Source organism: Homo sapiens, chromosome 15 (genome assembly GCF_000001405.40).
Source record: "Homo sapiens chromosome 15, GRCh38.p14 Primary Assembly".
Classification (NCBI taxonomy): domain Eukaryota; kingdom Metazoa; phylum Chordata; class Mammalia; order Primates; family Hominidae; genus Homo; species Homo sapiens.
The window spans coordinates 25,064,860-25,082,495 of record NC_000015.10 but is presented as its reverse complement, the minus strand read 5'-3'; the positions used below and the strand labels follow the sequence as shown (position 1 = coordinate 25,082,495).

The following is a 17,636-nucleotide window of genomic DNA, read 5'->3' as shown; positions in this document are numbered from 1 at the left end:
CCTATCGCTACTTCCCATGGGATACCCATTTCAGGATGTGTGCATGGGAGTACCCATGCATGAAGGTTTGAGGCACACATACATTTTGAGGGCACCAGCAAGCTTCAGAGCACTAAATGTGAAGAACTCTGGACACCACTCATTTGGTGCCCCGACTCAAAAGCCCTTCCCTTGGCCATCAGAGAAGACAGAGACCATAGAGATATTTGAATGGGGAGAGTTTTGGGAAAAAAAAAACTCTTCCTGTGCATAGGGCAATTTTCCTTTAGCCTTGAAGCATTTTTACTGCAAGCATCCATCAACACACTTCACATTCAAGAAACATGCTCAATCACAATTCAGCCTCCACCTCGGGGTCTTTCTCACAGGTGCAGCTCAAGCACCCAGAAGGTGTGAGCCACCGTGCCCAGCCCCATCTCAAATTCTTAATGAAGACAAGCATTCCACAGAGGGCCTGAACACAAACCTGCCAAACCAAGTCAAGTCTGTGGAGTTGCGGGAACACATGGATTCGCAATTACATTCCCATCCCAGCATCCCAAGATCATCATAAAATAAACCGTATGCACCCTATAACACCCAAAAGAGGCTCACAGTCATCTCTCCACAACCCAGACAGAAGACTGTGTGGTAAATGCATGTGCAGCTTTCTCCCCTTCTAACCACCAGGACCCTTCTGGGACCATGCGGTTTGGGTTTCCTCCTATGGACATACAAGTTCAGTGTGGATACCCTCTCTGGGCTCCTCTGCAGAAAGCAAATCAGCATCGCCATCCTCCTGAAGACTGCCTGCCTGCCCCTGATGCTATCCAAACACCATGGGAAGTCCTACGTCCCTTGACAAGGATGAAAGTGAGTGAAAGAGGTGTCTGGGAATGACCTTGTGCTGTCTCCCCATGTGGAAGCAATAGTCTTCCTCTGGAGGACAAGGGACCCAAGGTACAAATTGACGACACACCTGGCTGCCTTCAACCAAGCTGTCTCTTAGTTACAAACGTCCAAAATTCCCAGCTACTCTCCTCTGCCAGAAAAAGACCCCACCCCAAGCCTTGGTGCAGTCTGTGTCAACAAATGGATGTTGTTCCTCTCTCTCGAGCCCCTGATGGAGCAGTGTGCTGGACCTCAGTTTGACGAGGATGACGGTATAGAGTTTTCACTCATTTTGTTCAGCTTTCCAAGGAATGTATATATGGAAGTCATCATCGATCCACACACAATCTCCATCCCTGCAAATGAGGAAACTCAGGGTGCTTTGAAATGGAATCACTTACATCCAGGAGGATCCCAACAGCCTCTGGAGGAGCCCCCACACCATGTATGTCCAGGGCTTCCTGCCATCTCCAAGGATCACACAAGATGATGACCATCCCTCATGACACGGGTTTGCCTTTTACACCAACACTACCTGCGAAGTGCAGAGGATAAAGAAGCATGCTTCAGAAAGGCAGACGGGTGCACAGGTCACGAGGACCATGCTATCTTCCCCCTGTGGTTTATCTGGAATATGCCTGTCTCTGGCTTCCCTTGTTCGTGAACCCAGAAATTTATGGACACAAGTATGCTCATCTTGGGGATGGCAGCCCTCAGAATGCATCATCCCGCTAAAGAGCACTGATGTTGAGCATCCTTCTCAATACCCTTGTTTCAACACCTGCAATGCCAGTCACAAAATAATCAAGGCCCTGCACCCCTAAAGAGGAAGCCATTGACCTGTATCTGGTTTGGGATAACCCAGAGCCTCGCTGTCTATCAGCCCCAGTTTGGAGAGGAAGCCTGCCTGTTCATGCCAAATATACATCCTCACAATGCACAGTACACAACATGGGCACATAGGCACAGAGGCTATGCCGGGTAAACACAACTCCAACATCCTCAGCTAAGGATAAAATGAGCCAACTAATGGCAAAGGTGTAGCCTTTTGCTCTCCCCGCAACCAGAAGGATCTGTCTTCCTCTGGGGGACTTCGGTACCCAGAGCTTGGACTCAAGGACAAACTTGGCCATCAGAGGCAGGCTACCAGTTAACTCTTCCCATGCAATCTGCCATTCACCTAGTCCTCCAGACAGCACATGAGTTATCCAGCCCTAGGACACAGAAGTCCTTCAAACAAGGTATGTCCTGTGCATGGGAGATCCTACTCCCCTGTGTCTACCATTCACCCAAAGAAACCCCATCCTAAGCCTGGATGGTCCCCTTGGTGCCACCCATGTCAACGAATCAATGTTGGCCCTCTCTGTCTAGCCCCTGTTGGAGTAATGTGCTGGACCTCAGTTCGACGAGAATGACGGTATAGAGTTTTCACTCATTTTGTTCAGCTTTCCAAGGAATGTATATATGGAAGTCATCATCGATCCACACACAATCTTTGTTTCTGCAAATGAGGAAAATCAGGGTGCACTGGGAAGGAATTGCTTACATTCAGGAGAGATCCAACAGCCTCCAAGGAAGCCTACACCATGTGTGTCCAGGAGCTTCCTGGCTTCTCTGAGGTTAACATGAGATGATGATTGTCCCTCACCAACATGGTCCTGGCCAATTCATCACTTCCACGTGGGAGGTGAAGAGGAAACACGGGTGTGCTTGAGAAAATCTGACAGATGTGCAGTACACAAAGGCCATGTCCTCTGATCCCCTGCAGTGTATCTGGTTGATACCCAACTCTGGCTTTACCTGATTTTGGACACAGAAATGCATGGACAAGGGCTCAGGTGCCCTTGTAGTAGTGCATCAGCACACTAAAGAGCACTGACATTGAGCATCCCTCTCAACACCCTTACATCGATACCTATAATGTCACTCACAAAAGCTACAGGGCCATGCAATTTTAATGAGGAAGCCATTGACGTACACTGGGCTGGGGTTAAGCTAGAGACTCCTTGCCTATCAGGCTCAGCTTGCAGTGGGAACCTGTGTGTTCCTGCCATATGCATGTACTCACAATGCATGGAACACAACATGAAAGCTATGCCAGGTGATTGGAACTCCACTGTTCTCAAACTAAGAATGAAAAAAAGAAAGGCAAAAGTATGGCCTTGTTCTCTCTTCCCAAGCACAATTACTTGTCTTCCTCCAGGGGTTGTGGGAACCCAGAGCCAGGAGTCAAGGACAATCTTGGCCACCCAGAGGCAGGCTACAGGTTAACTCTCCCTGAGCAACCTGCACATTCACCTAGTCCCACGGACTGCATGTGTGCTACCCCAGCCTTGTAGACAGAAGTCCTGTGCACATAGCCTCAACTCCCCTGTGACTCTCCTTCACCCAAACGGAATCCCTTCCTAAGCCTGGAAGAATGCTTCATGCAACGGGCATCAAAAAAAATGACAGTTGTCCCTCTATAGCCCCCGGTGGACCTCAGTTCAACTAAGATGATAGTACAGAGTTCCCACTCATTTTGTTCAGCTTTCCAAGGAATGCATGTATGGAAGTCATCATTGGTCCATGCACAGTATTCATTCCTGTAAAGGAAGAACATTAGGGTCTTTTGAGAAATGAACACATACCGTATGAAGGGATCCACCGGCACCCAAAGGAGCCCATGCCACATGTGTCCATGGGTTCCCTGCCATCTCCAGGGATCTCCCAAGATGAAGTTTATCCCTTGCAGCCTCTGTCTTTCTTTGCATGCCCATGCCACCTGGGAAGTGCAGAGGAAAAACAGGTGTGCTTGAGAAAGGCAGGCAGGTACACAGTTTGCAAGGGCCATGCCATTCCTCCTGCCATGCTGTATTCTATATCTACCTCCCATGGGTGACCTCTCTTTGGGGACTTATGCACAGATATACCCAGGCATGAAGGTATAAGGCAGGCATGCATTTCAAGGGCACCATCAAACTAGAGAACACTAAGCGCGAAGAATTCTCTCAATACCACACTTTCACCACCCCTGACTCAAAAGCCATTCTCTTGGCCATCAGAGAAGACAACAGCCATGAGGATATTTCAATGGGGAGAGCTGCAGGGAAAAAGTGTTCCAGCACAAAGAACAACTTTCCTTCGGCCTTGAAGCTCCTTCCACACACTTTGCATTGAGAAACACATTCAATCACACATCAACCTCCACCTCTGGCCTTCCTCACAGGTGCAGCTCAGGGAACCAGAAAAGCATCAGACATGCTGAATCCTACAGGGCTTCTATGGTGCTGTCCCTGAGAACACGATACGTCTTAAGCCACTTGCCTGTGAACATGGCCACAGAGTACAAAACTCTCCATCACTGGCCTGTGGATGACAGCCCTCATACAACTTCATGACTGTTTCACAAAGAGGACTGTTGTGAAGAATTAGGAGGAATTTGAAAATAACCTAACATCATAAGATAATGGAGAATTTAAGTGCAGAGACCTTGACGGGTCACTTTTCTGAGTAGATGCTACCACGACATGGGAAGTGACACACTCTTAACCTCAACTGCATTGAAGTGCCTGAGCAGTTCAGAAGCAAATGGCATCAGGCTCTCCTGGGCAAAACTTCCCCTCATCAATACAGAGGGAGCAACAAGCCCTTCCAGCAGTATGTACAACCATGGAAGGGTAGAAACCCTGGGCCAATATCTGCTCAAATGCCTAACACAGACAAGCATCCCACAGGGGTTCCTGAACACAGATCTCTCAAACCAAGTCAGTCTGCGAAGTGGCAGGAACACAGGGACTTGCAATCTCATTCCCATCCCAGCACCCCAAGGTCATCATGAAATGGAGCATGGGCACCCTACAACTCCCAAAAGAGGCTCATAGTCATTGCTCCACGACCCACATGGAATGTCGCTTGGTACATGCATGCACAGCCCTCTCCCCTTCCCACCACCAGTACACTGCAGGGACCAAAGGACTTGGGTTTCCTCCTATGGACATACGAGTTCAATGTGGATACCCTCCCTGGGCTCCTCTGCAGAAAGCAAATCAGCTCACCACCCACCTCATGGCTGCCTGCCCCTGATGCTACCCAAGTACCATGGGAACTCCCACATCCTCGACTGAGAATGAAAGTAAGCCGAACAAGTGTCCAGGAATGACATGCTCTCTCCCCAAAGGAAAGCAATGGTATTCCTGTGCAAGCGGGGAGGCGACAAACCAAAAAGCTATGAATCAAGGACACACACAGTCATGCACAAAGAGACTACTGGCTACTGCTTCCTGTGCCATCTGCAGCTTCAAGTTCTGCAGGCTGGCAGTGTGCTTACCCCACCTTCTCAGAGGAAATTCCTTCAACCAAGCTGTCTCTCAGCTACAGAAGTCCAAAAAGCCCAGACGCTTGCATTTGCCCAAAGAGGACCACATCCTAAGCCAAGGTGTAGACCATGTCAACAAACAGATGTTGGCCCCCTCTCCTTGCCCTCCAATGTAGCAGCATGCTGGGACCTCAGTTCAATGAGGATGATGGTATAGAGTTTTCATTCATTTTATTCAGCTTTCCAAGGAATGTATATATGGAAGTCATCATTGATCCAGGCACAATCTTTGTTTCTGCAAATGAGGAAAATCAGGGCTTTGGGAAGGGCTTGCTTACATTCACGACGGATCCAAAAGCCTCTGAAGGAGCCCATGCCACATGTGTCAAGGGGCTTCCTGGCATCTCCAAGGATCACATGAGAGGATGATCATCCCTCACAGACACAGTCCTTCCTTCCATGCCAACGCCACCTGGGAGGTACAGATGAAACATGGGCATGTTTGAGAAAGGCAGACATGTGCAGAGGTTATGAGGGCCATGCCATCTGGCCCCCTGCAGTACATCTGCAATCTGCCCATCTCTGGCTTCACCTGTTTATGGACGCAGAACTGCATAGACACAGGGATGCACGTCTGGATCCTGGGAGCCCATGGAGTACATAATCCCACTAGAGAGAACTGATGTTGAGCATCCCTTTAAACACCCGTGCACACCTGCAAAGTTGATCATAAAAGCCTCGGGGACCTGCACCCCTAACGAGGAAGCCTTTGACCTACACCAGGTTTGAGATAAGCCAGAGACTCGTTGCCTATCAGCCCCAGCTTAGGGCAGGAGGCCAACTGTATGTCTTCATAACACAGAGGGTACAACAGAGGCACTCTGGCCTGGATGTGAAGCATGCAGGTGACCAGAAATCTATGTACATACACAAGGATAAAAATGAGCCAAAAATGAGGCAAAAGTGTAGGCTTGTCCTCTCTTCCCAACGAGAAGGACCTGCCTTCCTCCCGATGATGAGAGAACCAAGAACTAAGACTCAAGAACAAACTGGGGGACACAGAGCCTAAGTCCTTTGTGTCACCTGCACATTCACCTAGTCTTGAAGATGGTGTGTGTGCTACCCTGGCCTCACTAAGAGATGTCCTTCACACCAGGAATCTCCTGTGCATGGGAGCTCCCACTCCCCTGGGGCTACCCCTTGCCAAAAGAGAACCCCATCCTAAGCCTGGACAGACCCCTTGGTGCAACCCACGTCAATGAATGAGAGGTAGACCTCCATCTCTAGCCCCTGTTGAAGCAGTGTGCTGGACCTCAGTTTGAAGAGGATGACAGTATAAAGTTTTCACTCATTTTGTTCAACTTTCCAAGGAACCCACGTATGGAAGTCATCATTGATCCATGCACAGTCCTCATACCTGCAAACATGGAACATTAGGTGCCTTTGGAAAACCAATACTTACCATCCTGAGGTATCCACCAGCCTGAAGGAGACCATGCCAAACATGTTTAGAAGCACTTTGCCATCTCCAAAAATCTCCCAAGATCAAAGTCATCCCTTGCGGTCACTGGCCTTCCTTCCATACCAACGCCACCTAAGAAGTGCAGAAGCAAAACAGTGTGCTTGAGAAAGGCAGTGAGGTGCATAGGTGGCAAGGGTCATGTCATTTGTCCTGTTGTGGAGTAATCTGTATCTACCTCCCATGGGCTCCCCTTCTTTCTGCACACATGCATGGGTTTGCCCAAACATGAAGGTAGGAGGCAGGCATGAATTTTGAAGGCACCATCAACTAGAGAGCACTAAGCATGAAGAACACTCTCAACACCACTCTTATAACACCTCCAACTCAAAAACCCTTCTCCTGGCCATCAGAGAAGACAAAGGCTATGGTGATACTTCAGTGAGGAGAGTTTGGAGGGGAAACCTCTTCCTATGCAAAGGTTAACTTTCCTTTGGCCTTGAGGCATTTTTACCCCTTGGGTCCTTCACACTCTTCCCATCCAGAAACATCACAAATCAACCTCCATGTGCACTACACAGGTACAGATCAGGGACCCAGAAGAGCACCAGGCATTCTGAATCCTACAAGATTTCTAAGGTGCTGCAGCTAAGAAAACAAGATCTTAAGGCACTTGCCTGTGAACATAACATCAGAGTCCAACACCTATCCATCATTGGCCTGTGGATGGTAGCCCTGTCCTACCACACAACGACTATTTCACAAAGAAGACTGCTGTGAAGAATTAGGAGGAATTTGAAAATACCCTAATATCAGGAGACGCTGAGGTATATAAGCAAGGAGACCTTCGCAGGTCACATTTCCAAGTAGAAGTCACCACGATGTGGGGAATGACACACTCTTATAAACCCCAACTGCATCAAGATGTCTGAGCGGTTCAGAGGCAAATGACATCAGGCTCTCCCAAGCAAACCATCCTGAGGATATCACGAAATGGACCTTGGGCACCCTGCAATGTCTTAAAGAGCCTCACAGTCATCACTCCACGACCCACATGGAATGATGCCAGGTAAAGGCACACACAGACCTCTCCCCTTCCCACAGCCACTACCCTTCTTGGGCCATGAAATTTGGAATTCTACTTATAGATGTACAAGTTCACTGTAGAGAGCTTCTCCAGGCTCCTTTCCAGAGAGCAAATCAGCATCACCACTGGCTTCAAGATGGCCAGCCCTTGATGCTACCCAAACACCATAAGAAGTCCCATGTCCCCGGCCACAGATGAAAGACAGTTGAAGAAGTGCTCAGGAATGGCACCGTGCTGTCTCCTCATGTGGAATAAATTGTCTTCTTCTGGGGGGTGACGAACCCAAGAGGTATGAATCAAGGACAGACCCAGCCATGCAGAGGTGGGCAACTGGATACCGCCTTCCTGTGGCACCTGCAGGTTTACCTTCTCCTGCACACTGGCAGGATGCTACCCCACCTTCTCACAGGTAAGTCGTTCAACAAACGTATCTCTCAGCCAGGGGAGTACAAAATACTCAGCTACTCAGTTTCACTGAAAGACAACTACATCCTAAGCCTTGGTGCACACCATGATAACAAACAGATGTTGGCCCCCTAAATCTAGGCCCTGATGGAGAAGCGTGCTGGACCTCAGTTAGATGAGGATGATGGTACTGAGTTTTCACTCATTTTGTTCACCTTTCCAAAAAAAAAAAAAAAACGTATATATGTAAGTCATCATCAACCTACACATAGTCTTTGTCCCTGCAAGTGAGGAAAATCAGAATGCTTTCAGAAGAAATCACTTACATTCAGGAGAAATCCAAAAGCCTCCAAAGGAGCCCACACCATTTGTATCCAGGGGCCTCATGGCATCTCAAAGATCACACAAGACGAAGACCATCCTTCTTGGACAAGGGCCTTCCTTCCATGCCAATGACACCAGGAAGGTGCAGAGGAAATGAGTGTGCTTCAGAAAGACAGACAGGTACATAGGTCAGGAAGGCTATGTCATATAGACTCCTGTGGTACATATGAAATCTGCTTATCTATGGCTTCACATATCTGTGTTCACAGAAACACATATACAGAGTTGCACATGTGGATTCCGGGTACCCTGGGAGGGCGTCATGCCACTAAAGAGTATGGGCGTAGAGCATCCCAATCAACACCATGGCTTCAATACTTGCAATTTGTGTACAAAAGACTTGGTGCCCTGGATGCTGAAAGCCAAAAACTTGTACCACTACTCAGTTCAAGATAAGATAAGAGATGACATGCCAGTCAGCCCAACATTGGAACAAAAGCAAAAACATTCAGGAAATATGTACTTCCTCAACATATAAAAAAAACAAGGAAACTTTCTCCATGAATGTTGGTGAAAGGCTGTGATTGGTGACCAGAACCTGGCTAAAAATCAATCATGCAACAAAAATCCAAAACCTAGCATTAAGGGTGAAACCAACTTGACACCAAGAAGAGTAACACTAAAAAAATTCATGGGCTACCCAAGTATGATTCTCAAATACATTTATGATAAAGAATTTTACTATGGTCAAAACGACCACAAAAATTGAATGCCAGTGCCTGGGTAGTGAAGTACCATGTAATATGACAGTTACCCGTGAACCACAATAAGCCAAAGTGGAGGCAATGTGCTGGACCTCAGTTCCGATGAGAACGACGGTATGAGTTCTCACTCATTTTGTTCAGCTTTTCCAAGGAATGTTTTTATGGGGGACTCATCATCGATCCAAGCACATTCAAAGACGCAGGATGTTTGACATCATAGGCTGGGCAGTGGGTGAGCCGATGACCTTAAACATGTTCGGCACCCTGGGGAACCCAGAGCTGTGCCACTGAGCAAAAGGTACAGACCATCCACTCTAGGAGAGGAACTCAGCATGCCATTAGTGGCCTACTGAAAAACTGTTCATTGTGGGTCTTGGGAATCCCAAAGACACCCTCACTCAGCACGAAGGGCAGAGGAATGCTTACCGTCCTGAGCCACCCACCAGCACGGGGTGCACTGTGGATACCAGGCCACACTGAAACCAGGACTCTACGTGGCCTTTGTTGCTTGGGAGAATCGACCATCTTCCTTCCAGCAGGCCTGCGCCTCCCATGGCAACTGCCCCTGAGAAGTGTAAAGAAACCAAATGCATGCTTGAGAAATGGGCCCAGGTCCACTGGTCACTTCAAACCCATTCTTACCTGTGGGGCAACTTGCATGCCTGCTTCTCCTTGGCCTCCATGATTGATCTCCATCTCCATGAATGTATCTTACCTCTGTCACTCTGTGGACACATAGGAAGTGTGTGTGCCTGGAACAACCTCATGTGCCCATTGCTGCGAGTATTTGCCTGTGGCTGTGCACACGTGTGTGTGTGTGTGTGTGTGTGTGTGTGTGTGAGATTCCCACTGCAATGGGCGGTTATAGTCTGCAGCCTCCAGACCTGATCCCCCCAACAAATCAAAGGTTCAAGACCTTCAATCAGTAGGATGTGCACTCTGATCTCAAGGCCACGTGGAAATAGGCCTGATGTCCCTCGTGTAACAGCCACCACACCCCTGGCGCGAATACAGGCTACTCCTCACAGGGCCTCTGATGTCGGGACCAGACACTGTCTCTTGCTGCACTCCCAGGTAAGGCACATCTGGCGGAAAACCAACCAAAACCTGTGCTGGAAGGCACCTGCCCAATGCTCAGAATGTTGCACTGATACATGACGTCAAAGCCAGAGGTGGTCTTCCCAACCTAGCCAAACGACCTCAAGAAACAGCTTCCTCCACTCCACTCAGTCCACGTACGCACACGTGCCCTCAGGATGCCTGAAGAGAATGGCTGCTTCTCCAACAGGACGTCCACGCCTGATGCCCCAAAAGCCGAGTGGACAAGACACACCACCTAACATTGTCCTTGCACTGGTCACCTCACAGGGCTTCCCTGCACTGACCTCAGAGGCAATGTCCCATCGTGCAGTCAGCTTGACCGCATTCCCACCCACAACAATGCCTGCAAGTCAACACCACCTCAACACCAGCACCAGGTGTAGATACATGTGGCTACTAAGTGAGCTGCTAGCTGTAGAACCACCAATCCTTTCCAACTTTCCTAAGCCAACCACAAGCCCGTCAATGTGGCATGGCTGTCCTGGCTGCACTGTGACTTCAAACTGGCTAAGGGAACTGAAACGCTTCATCACCCCAGGATGGAGCAGAATCCAGCACTTGAATATCGCCATCATACAGTGGCACGGAGGCATCCCAAGTCAAAAGATTCTCTGTGGCAATGCCATTGGGATTGCACATATGTTGCCTGGAATCTGGAATACACACAGACCTTCATGAATAGCCCCAAGTGTGACTAGAGCCCATGGGAGAGGCCCAGGGCAGAGCCAGAGCCAAGGCACATTCCCTCTGGATGCCTTCGGGATGGAAGCTGCTTTCCAAGTGGGAAAGTGGATCCAGAGCACTATTTGCTCAAACGAGCTGCAGCAGGTGGGGCCATCCGGCAACGGCGGGCCAAGAGACCATTTCCAGGAAGATGTGCACAACAGTGGAGCCCACTACTCTGCCGTGAAGACCAGAAGTGACCAAGGGCTGTGGGTGCCAGCCTGACCCTCATGTTCACTGTGACCTGCCCTCAATGACCCCTGCTGGCTGAGCTGTCATCTGCCAGAGAAATCCATGTGAAGCCCATCACTGCCAAATGACAGCCCCAGACCACTGATGACACACATGTCCACGTGAGCCCTCTACCACCTTTTCTCTGGAATACTTTCCTGCCCAGGCCTCTGCCATTGCACTACGAGCAGCTCACAGCTCAGGAGGCCAAGAAATCCCTGCCAGGGAGGCCCTGTGACCAACCCTGGAAGGAGAGCCAAAGAGCCTTTGGATATCTGCTGGGACACCCATTGCTCTTCCCCATCAACTTGGCACTCCCTTGTCCTCAGGTAACCAGAAATCAAGACAAAGATCTGCCTGAGGCCCACACCTCATGCTCTCCTTGGCAAAAAAATCGGACCCAGTCCTGTGTGCAGTGACATCTGCCGCGAGATCTGGGTCTCCCTTCCTGGGAGCTCACCAAGCTGAGGCCAGCCACACACTCCTTGAGGCCTGCAAAATTTCTGTACTCTTCCATGGCTGCCACACCATAACAAAGCAGACAATTTGCCCATGACTCTCTTACCCGTCTACATCGCACAGAGGAAATGTTCCTAACCTGTGTGTGATGGGAGACTTTGGCCTGTGGATGCCCTGGGAGGTGGAACCTATGGGAACTAGTGGAAGTTGTCCCTCAATCCTACAGTCCCCGGCAGAGGCAAATGTGCTGGACCTCAGTTCCGATGAGAACGACGGTATGAGTTCTCACTCATTTTGTTCAGCTTTTCCAAGGAATGTTTTTTTGGAGGACTCATCATCGATCCAAGCACATTTGAAGAGGCAGGACATTTGACACCACAGGCTGGGCAGTGGGTGAGCCAATGACTTTAAAGACCACAGCCATGCCCTTAATGGCCTGCTGAAGAACTGCTCCTTGTGGGTCTCAGAAATCCTAAAGACACCCTCAGTCATCATGCGGGGCAGAGGAATGCTTACCGTCCTGAGCCATCCACCAGCACGGGGTGCACCACGGATGCAAGGCCACACCGAATCCAGGACTCCATGGGGCCTTCATTGCTCAGAAGCATCAACCATCTTCCTTTCAGCAGACGGCAGGCCTCCCACGGCAACTGCCCCTTAGAAGTGTAAAGAAATCACATGCATGCTTAAGAAACAGACCAAGGTCCACTGGTCACCTCTTCAACGCCATTCTTGCTTACAGGGCAACTCACACACCTACTTTTCCTTGGCCTCCATGATTGACTTCCATTACCATGAATATACCTGACCCGTGTCACTCTGTGGAGACCTAGGAAGCGTGTGTGACCGAAACGACAGCATGTGCCCATTGCTGAATCTATTTGCCTGTGGCTATGCACGCCTGTGTGTGTGTGTGTGTGTGTGTGTGAGAGAGAGAGTGTGTCTGTGTGTGTGTGTATGTGTGTCTCCCTCATGCACATATGTTTCCCAACACCACAAGGGGTGGTCATAGTCTGCAGCCTCTAGACCTGAACCTCCTCACAACCCAAAAGCTCAAGACCCAGGCCTTCAATCAGTAGGATGTGAACTTTGACCTTGAGGCCATGCGGACATGGGCCCGAGGTCCCTTGCCTAACAGCCACCAAGCCTGGCATGAGCACACACTCCTCCTCACAGGGCATCTGATGTTGTGACCAGACACTCTCTCTGGCTGCCCTCTCAGGTGAGGCACATGTGGTGGAAAACCAACTACAACCAGCACTGGAGGGCACCATCGCAAAGTCCAGCACCTCAGTTTGAAACTCAGTGTCAAGGCCAGAGGCAGTCTTCCCAACCTAGCCAAACAATCTCAAGACACGGGCTTCCTCCCCTCCACTCAGTCCACATGCCCACACCGTGCCCTCAGGACATCCTAGCTAATGGCTGCTATTCCAAGAGGACATCTCCACTTGACCCCCTAAGGACAAGGTTGACAGGACACACCGCCTGTCATCATTCTTGCACTGGACACATCTACAGGGCTTCCCTGCACCGACCTCTGAGGCAACATCCTATCACACAGCCAACTTGACCTCACTACTACATACCACAGTGCCTATAAGTCAACACTGTCTCAACACCACGGGGTCCACAAGCACGTTTCTGCTAAGTGAACTGCAAGCCGTAGAACTACCAACCTTTTCAGCTTTCCTAAGCCAACTGTGTGCCCTTCAGCGTGACATGCCTGTCCTGGCCGTGCTGAGACTTCAAACCAGTTAAGGGAGCTGAAATGCTTCACCACGCCTAGGGCATAGCGGAATCCAACACTGGAACACTGTCAACACGCAGAGTCATCCCAAGTCGAGAGACTCTCTGTGGCAATGCCGCTGGGACTGCATACGCATTGCCTGGAATGCACACAGACCTCCGTGGATAGCCCCATGCATGACTGGAACCCACTGGAGAATCCCAGGCCAGGGCCAGGGCACATTCCCTCTGGATGCCTTCAGAATGGAAATTGCTTTCCAAGCGGGAAAGAGGATCCAGAGCAGTTATTTGCTCACATGAGTTGCAGCAGGTAAGGCCACCCAACAATGCATGCCAAGAGACCATTTCCAGAAAGGTGTGCACAACGGTGGAGCCCACTACTCTGCTGAGAAGACCGGAAGTGACCCAGGGCCACAGACACCATCCCGACACTCACTTGCCCAGAGACATGCCCTCAAAGACCCGCCCTGGCTGACCTGTCATCCACCAGAGAAATCCATGGGAAGCCCATCACCACCAAGTGACAGCCCAATGCAGCTGATGACACACATGTCCACATGAGCCCTTCACCACCTTTTCTCTGGGGTACCATCCTGGCCAAGCCTTGGTCACTGCACCATGGTCATCTCATGGCTAGGGATGCAAAGAAATCCATGCCAGGGGGCACCTGTGACTGATGCTGGAAGGAGGGCCAAAGAGGCTTTAGCCATCTGCGGTGACACCCATTGCTCTGTGCTCTCCTCCATCACCTTGGAACTCCCATTATCAGCTAGTGGAAAATGAAGACCAAGGTCTATCTGAGGCCTGAGCCTCATGCTCTCCTTGGCAGGGGAACTGTGACCTGGTCCTCTACATAAAGACACCTGCTGCGAGGCCCGGGTCTCCCTTCCTGGGAGCTCACCAAGCCGAGACCAGCCATACACAACCCTAGGTCAAAACACTTCCACCTGCTTCCGTGGCTGCCACAACATCACAGAGTGGCCAATCCCTCCACAACTGTCCCATCCGTCTATGTCATACAGAGGAAATGTTCCTCACATGCATGTGATAGGAGATTTTCATCTGTAAATGCCCTGGGTGGTGGAACCCATGGGAACCAGTGGAAGTTGTCCCTCGCTCCTACAGTCCCCAGAGGAGGCAACGTGCTGGACCTCAGTTCTGATGAGAACGACGGTATGAGTTCTCACTCATTTTGTTCAGCTTTTCCAAGGAATGTTTTTATGGGGGACTCATCATCGATCCAAGCACGTTCGAAGAGGCAGAACATTTGACACCACAGGCTGGGCAGTGGGAGAGCTGATGACCTTAAACACCTTCAGCATCCTGGGGGGAACCCAGAGCCACACCACTGAGCAATGAACACAGACAATCAGCTCTGGGAGTGGAACTCGCCATGCCATTAGTGGCCTGCTGAGAAACAGCTCTTTGCAGGTCTCAAAATTCAAAAGACACCTCTGCACACAGGGCAGAGGAATGCTTACCACCCTGAGCCACTCACCAGCATTGGGTGCACCATAGATGCCAGGCCACACCAAATCAGGACTCAAGGCAGCCTCTGTTGGTCAGAAGAATTGACCATCTTCCTTGCCAGCAAGCGGCAGACCTCTCATGACAACTGCTGCTGAGAAGTGTAAAGAAATCAAATGCATGCTTGAGAAACGGGCCCAAGTCCACTGGTCACCACTTCAATCCCATTCTTTCCCACAGGGAAACTTGCACACCGGCTTCTCCTTGGGCTCCATGACAGACCTCCATCTTCATGAATATACCTGACCCATGTCACTCTGTGGACACCTAGGAAGCACATGTGACCACAACAATAGCACACACCCATTGCTGCATCTATCTGCCTGTGGCTGTGCACGCCTGTGCATGTGTAGGTGTGTATGTCAGAGTGAGTGTGTCTATGTGTATGTGTCTCCCCCACACAGATGTTTCCCAACAGCACAACGGGTTGTCATAGTTGGCAGCCTCCAGACCTGGAAACCATCCCCACACCTGCAACCAAAAGGCTCGAGACCCAAGGCCTTCAATCAGTAGGATGCGAATTTTGACCTAGGGGTCAGACAGACATTGGCCTGATGTCCCTCGACTAACAGCCAGCACCCCTGGCGGTGCAAGCACACAGTCCTCCTTACGGGGCATATAATGTCGTGACCAGACACTGTCTCTCGCCGCTCTCCCAGGTAAGGCACACCTGACACCAAACCAACCAAAACTTGCACTGGAAGGCACCTTTGCAATGGCCACCACGTTGGTCTTAAACACGGCACACGGCATCAAGGCCAGAGACAGTCTTCTGAACCCAGCCAAAGGACCTCAAGACACACACTTCCTTCCTCCAATCAGTTCACATGCCCGCACCATGCCTTCAGGACACACAAAGGGAATGGCTAGTTTTCCAACAGGACATTCCTGCCTGAACCCCTAAAGACAAGGTGGACAGGACACACCACCTTTCATTTTCCTTGCATTGGACACACCTACAGGGCTTCGCTGCACCGACATCTGAGGCAACATCCCATCATGCAGCCAACTTAACTGCACTACCAACCACCCCAACGTCAGCAAGTCAACACCATCTCAACACCATCACCAGGTTTACATGCAAACAGCTATGAAGTGAGCTGCGAGACATAGAACCACCAACCCTTTCCGACTGTCCTAAGTCAACTATGTGCCATGCCAATGTGGCACGGCTGTCCTGGCTGCACTATGATGTCAAACCGGCTAAGTGAGCTGAAACGCTTCATTGCCCTGAGGATGTAGCAGAATCCAATACTGGAACATCGCCAACACACAAAGGCGAGGAGGCATCCCAAATCAAGAGACTCTCCACGGCAGTGCCCCTGGTATTGCACATGTGTTGCCTGGAATGCACAAGGACCTCCATGAATACGCCAAGTGTGACTGGACCCCATCGGAGAGTCCCAGGCCAGGGCCAGGGCCAGGGCACATTCCCTCTGGACGCCTTTGGGATGGAAGCTGCTTTCAAAGCGGGAAATGGGATCCAGAGCAGTATTTGCTCACACGAGCTGCAGCAGGTGGGGCCGCCTGGCAATGGCGGGCCAAGAGACCATTTCCAGGAAGATGGACACTTCTACTACTCTGCCAGGAAGAATGGAGTGACCCAGGACCACAGGCATCAGCCCGACCCTCATGCTCCCTAGGACCTGCCCTTGAAGACCCCCAATGGCCAACCTGTCATCCACCAGAGAAATCCCTGGAAAGCCCATCACCACCAAATGACAGCCCAAGACCACTGATGGCATGCATGTCCACGTGAGCCCTCTACAACCTTTTCTCTGGGGTACCTTCCTGCCCAGGCTTGGCCACAACACCACAGGAATCTCACAGCTCGAGAGGTGAAAAAAGTCTGTGCTGGGGGCCCCCTGGGACTGACCGTGAAAGGAGGGACAGAAAGGCTTTAGCTGTCTGCCACAACATCCATTGCTGTGCGCTCTCCCCTATCACCCTTGGCACTCCCCTGTCCTCAGCTAACCAAAGATCAAGACCAAGGACTGTCTGAGGCCTGGGCCTCATGCTCTCCTTGAAAGCAGAACTGGAACACGTACCTGGTCCTCTATGCAAGGATGCCCGCAGCGATTTCCAGGTCCCCCTTCCTGGGAGCTCACCAAGCCGAGGCCAGCCCCACACTCCCCTAAGCCTGCGACATTTCCATCCACTTCCACGGCCACTATGCCATCACAGAGCAGCCAGTCACCCTATGACTCTCTGACCTGTGTACCTGACACAGAGGAAATGTTCCTTTTTTTGGGAGGGGAGTGGGGGGAATGTTTGTAATATGACAGGAGACCTTCACCTGTGAACGCCATGGGTGTTAGAACCTATAGGGACTAGTGGAAGTTGTCCCTCACTAGTAAAGGCCCCAGAGGAAGCAATGTGCTGGACCTCAGTTCCGATGAGAATGACGGTATGAGTTTTCACTCATTTTGTTCAGCTTTTCCAAGGAATGTTTTTTTTGGAGGACTCATCATCGATCCAACCACATTCAAAGAGGCAGGACATTTGACACTGCAGGCTGGGCAGTGTGCGAGCTGATGACCTTAAAGGCCTCGACAATGCCCTTAATGGCCAGCTGAAAAACTTCCTTGTGGGACTCAGAAATTCTAAAGACACCCTCACTCATCATGCGGGGCAGAGGAATGC

The 17,636-nt window shown here is 50.5% G+C and overlaps 2 long non-coding RNA genes and 10 other non-coding genes across 12 annotated transcripts in view; all 12 read right to left on the bottom strand.

Annotated features, from left to right (window-relative positions):
• Positions 1-17,636, bottom strand: part of SNHG14 (small nucleolar RNA host gene 14) — a 595,855-nt gene that overhangs the window by 336,967 nt on the left and 241,252 nt on the right. Inside the window, exons 32-38 of the long non-coding RNA NR_146177.1 lie at positions 12,237-12,376; positions 9,633-9,771; positions 8,445-8,604; positions 6,630-6,761; positions 5,506-5,639; positions 3,501-3,634; positions 1,272-1,405 (exon numbers count right to left, since the gene is read on the bottom strand). This is a non-coding gene — a long non-coding RNA (small nucleolar RNA host gene 14). The remainder of the gene's footprint in view (positions 1-1,271; positions 1,406-3,500; positions 3,635-5,505; positions 5,640-6,629; positions 6,762-8,444; positions 8,605-9,632; positions 9,772-12,236; positions 12,377-17,636) is intronic.
• Positions 1,117-1,210, bottom strand: SNORD116-15 (small nucleolar RNA, C/D box 116-15). Its single transcript, NR_003330.2, has one exon. It is a non-coding gene; the product is annotated as a small nucleolar RNA, C/D box 116-15 (small nucleolar RNA).
• Positions 2,262-2,355, bottom strand: SNORD116-14 (small nucleolar RNA, C/D box 116-14). Its single transcript, NR_003329.2, has one exon. It is a non-coding gene; the product is annotated as a small nucleolar RNA, C/D box 116-14 (small nucleolar RNA).
• SNORD116-13 (small nucleolar RNA, C/D box 116-13) lies at positions 3,346-3,439 on the bottom strand. Its single transcript, NR_003328.2, has one exon. It is a non-coding gene; the product is annotated as a small nucleolar RNA, C/D box 116-13 (small nucleolar RNA).
• SNORD116-12 (small nucleolar RNA, C/D box 116-12) lies at positions 5,353-5,446 on the bottom strand. Its single transcript, NR_003327.2, has one exon. It is a non-coding gene; the product is annotated as a small nucleolar RNA, C/D box 116-12 (small nucleolar RNA).
• On the bottom strand, positions 6,475-6,568 carry SNORD116-11 (small nucleolar RNA, C/D box 116-11). Its single transcript, NR_003326.2, has one exon. It is a non-coding gene; the product is annotated as a small nucleolar RNA, C/D box 116-11 (small nucleolar RNA).
• On the bottom strand, positions 8,280-8,383 carry SNORD116-10 (small nucleolar RNA, C/D box 116-10). The gene has a single exon (NR_003325.1). It is a non-coding gene; the product is annotated as a small nucleolar RNA, C/D box 116-10 (small nucleolar RNA).
• SNORD116-9 (small nucleolar RNA, C/D box 116-9) lies at positions 9,294-9,390 on the bottom strand. The gene has a single exon (NR_003324.1). It is a non-coding gene; the product is annotated as a small nucleolar RNA, C/D box 116-9 (small nucleolar RNA).
• Positions 11,969-12,065, bottom strand: SNORD116-8 (small nucleolar RNA, C/D box 116-8). Its single transcript, NR_003323.1, has one exon. It is a non-coding gene; the product is annotated as a small nucleolar RNA, C/D box 116-8 (small nucleolar RNA).
• Positions 12,377-17,634, bottom strand: LOC128966705 (uncharacterized). Its single transcript, XR_008485583.1, has 2 exons — positions 17,042-17,634; positions 12,377-15,087 (listed from the first exon to the last, which is right to left on the bottom strand). It is a non-coding gene; the product is annotated as an uncharacterized LOC128966705 (long non-coding RNA).
• SNORD116-7 (small nucleolar RNA, C/D box 116-7) lies at positions 14,613-14,709 on the bottom strand. Its single transcript, NR_003322.1, has one exon. It is a non-coding gene; the product is annotated as a small nucleolar RNA, C/D box 116-7 (small nucleolar RNA).
• SNORD116-6 (small nucleolar RNA, C/D box 116-6) lies at positions 17,374-17,471 on the bottom strand. The gene has a single exon (NR_003321.1). It is a non-coding gene; the product is annotated as a small nucleolar RNA, C/D box 116-6 (small nucleolar RNA).